Source organism: Homo sapiens, chromosome 4 (assembly GCF_000001405.40).
Source record: "Homo sapiens chromosome 4, GRCh38.p14 Primary Assembly".
NCBI classification, from domain to species: domain Eukaryota; kingdom Metazoa; phylum Chordata; class Mammalia; order Primates; family Hominidae; genus Homo; species Homo sapiens.
Window position 1 is genome coordinate 120,196,083 of NC_000004.12, and position 2,756 is coordinate 120,198,838.

At 46.5% G+C, this 2,756-nt stretch overlaps 1 annotated feature.

The window, feature by feature from the left end:
* Nucleotides 1,602–1,758: a silencer, noted in NCBI's record as "fragment chr4:121118839-121118995 (GRCh37/hg19 assembly coordinates)". NCBI's record gives its function as "represses an EF-1alpha promoter that drives an FKBP-Casp9 reporter gene in an ReSE screen in K562 erythroleukemia cells {active_cell/tissue: K562}" and the evidence as "EXISTENCE:reporter gene assay evidence [ECO:0000049][PMID:32094911]".

The window sequence follows — 2,756 nt, forward strand, 5'->3', positions numbered from 1 at the left end:
GACTCTCTTTCTTCTTCCCATACTGGATGCTTGCTTCCACTCTTCCTGCCCTTAGACATCAGACTCCAGGTTCTTCTGTCTTTGGAGTCTGGGACTTGCACCAATGGCTTCCAGGAGCCTCTTGGGCCTTTGGCCACAGACTGAAGGCTGCACTGTTGGCTTCACAGGGAACTGTCAACTTCCTGGTGTCGAAGCTTTCAGACTTGGACTAAGCCACTACCAACTTCTCTCTTCCTCAGCTTGCAGACAGCCTACTGTGGGACTTTGCCTTCTAATCATGTGAACCAATTCCTCCTAATAAACTCCCTTTGATGTAGACATATTTCCTATTGGTTCTGACCCCCCGTGAAGAACCCTGACTAATACTATTGGTTCTGACCCCCTGTGAAGAACCCTGACTAATACACCATCCAGACTCTTCACTGCAGGAAAATTACCTTCTTCAACAAGGGAATTTTAAACCTGAGGACTTTCCCCCAAATATGATAGACGAAGTGTGAGATTGTTGACAACCTGATGTACTGATATGAATTCCTATGGTACCCTGGAGCAAAATTGACTTCTGCTTCTAATTTTGGAATAAAATAGTAGATTCTGTATTTTTTAAGATGAGAATTAATTCACTATTATGAAATACTTGACATCACCATCTCAGGCCCATTTTTGAACTCTTGGAAATCATTCAAATAAGACTTTCTTTGAGAGACTAATGGTGCAATGGTACATAATAGTGGAAATGATAGAATTGAGCAATTTAAAAAATTTAGGGCTAATTTTCTTTGGTTGTTGGTTCCACAAATGAACAAATCTAACAGTTTCAAAACGTGTGCCTGTTTTGAATCAAATCTAAGGAAAGGTGGAGGCAAAGCAAGATGGAAGAATAGAAGCCTACACCATTCATCCTTGCCACTGGGACACCAAATTTTAACAACCATCTGTACACAGAAAAGCACTGTCACAAGAAACAAAAATCAGGTGAGCAATCACAGTACCTGGTTTTAATTTCACATTGTGGAAAGAAGCATTCAGGAAAACAGGACAGACAGTCTTGAAGCACCAACATATCCCTTTCTAATCTCTTGGCAGTAGGCCTGCAGTGTGGAGAGAGAATCTGTGCACTTTGGGGAGAGAAAGTACAGGCACTGGGGGATTTTACACTGAACTCAGCGCTGCCATGTTATAGTGGAGAATAAAGCTGTGCTGTGCTCAGTCAGCATGCGCTCATCCGCACATGGAGGGAATATTTGGACCAACCCTAGCAAGAGGTAAATTGCTCTCCCAGTGGTCGAAACTTGAGTTTCTCAGGAGGCCTTGTCATCGTGGGCTGAAGTGCTCTGGGGTCCTAGATAAACTTGAAAGGCAGTCTAGGATAAAAGGACTCTAATTCCTAGGCAACTCCCAGTGCTAGACTGGGCTTAGAGCTGGTGAATTAGAGTAGCACATGACCTAGGGAGACACCAGCTGGCATGGCTAAGGGAGGGCTTGTGTCATTCCTCCCCCAACCCCAGGCAGTGCAGCTTGTACGAACAAAAGTGAACTCATTTTTCTGCTTAAGGAGGGAAGAGTGAAGAATAGAGAAACTCTGTCTTGCCTGTTGGATGCCAGCTCAGCCACAGTAGAATAGGACACTGGGCATAGTCATGAGGACCCCATTCCAGTCCCTAGCTCCTGAATGGCATTTCTAGACACACCCTGGGCCAAAAGGTAATCCACTGCCTTGAAGAGAAAGACCTGGTCCTGGCAGGATTGATGAAGTGCTTACTGAAGAGCTCATGGGCCCTGGATAACTACCAGCAATAGCCAGGGAGCATGCCTTGAGCCTCAAGTTCAGAGATATACTGGCTTCAAGGGAGCCCCAGCACATTCCCAGCTCTGGTGGCTATGGCAAAAGACTTCTTCTGTTTGAGAAAAGCAGAAGGAAAAGTAAAGGGGACTTTGTTTTGCATCCTAGCTACCAACTTGGCCATAGTGGGGTAGAGGAACAACCAGGCTCCTGGGGGCACTGCGTACAGACTAGGATCTTGGATACATTACTGGATCTTCTCTGGGTCAGAGGGCATCCCACTACCTTGAAGGGTGAGTCCAAGGTCTATCAGCATTCACCACAAGCTGACAGAGGAGCTCTTGGCCTTTAAGCAAACATTGGTGATGGCCTGGCAGAATGCCCCACCTCCATGCACTGGGGATAGTTGTGACCACAGGGAGATGCTCTTCTGCCTGTGGAATGAAGACAGAAGAGCAGGAAGGACTTTATATTGTGGTTTGCATGCCATCTTGGCCTCAGTAGAATAGAACATCAGGTAAATTGGTAAGGGTTTTGACTTGAATGTCCAGCTCCCAGACAGCATTTCTGGGCATGCCTAAGGCCTGGAGGAACCTGCCACCCTGAAGGGAAGGGCCTTGGACAAGGCCCAGTGCTGTGCTGGCTTCTGGTCTGATCCAGTGAAGTTCCAGTGGTGGGGACCACAGGGGTGATTGCATCACTACATTCCCAGTGCCAGGTGGTTCAGCACACAGAGACTCTGTATGTTTGGGAGAAAGTAAAGGAAAATAACAAGAATCTGTCTGGTAATTTAGAGAATTCTCTCGGATCTTATCCAAGACCACCAAATGGTATCTCTATGAGTCTGCAAAAACCACAGCGTTCTTGGGCTTGGGGCCCAAGTCCCTTCAATACCTGGAAAGCCTTCCCAAGAAGGACAGGCAGAAACAAGCCCAGACTGTGAAGGCTGCAGTAAATACCCAACTCTTCAATG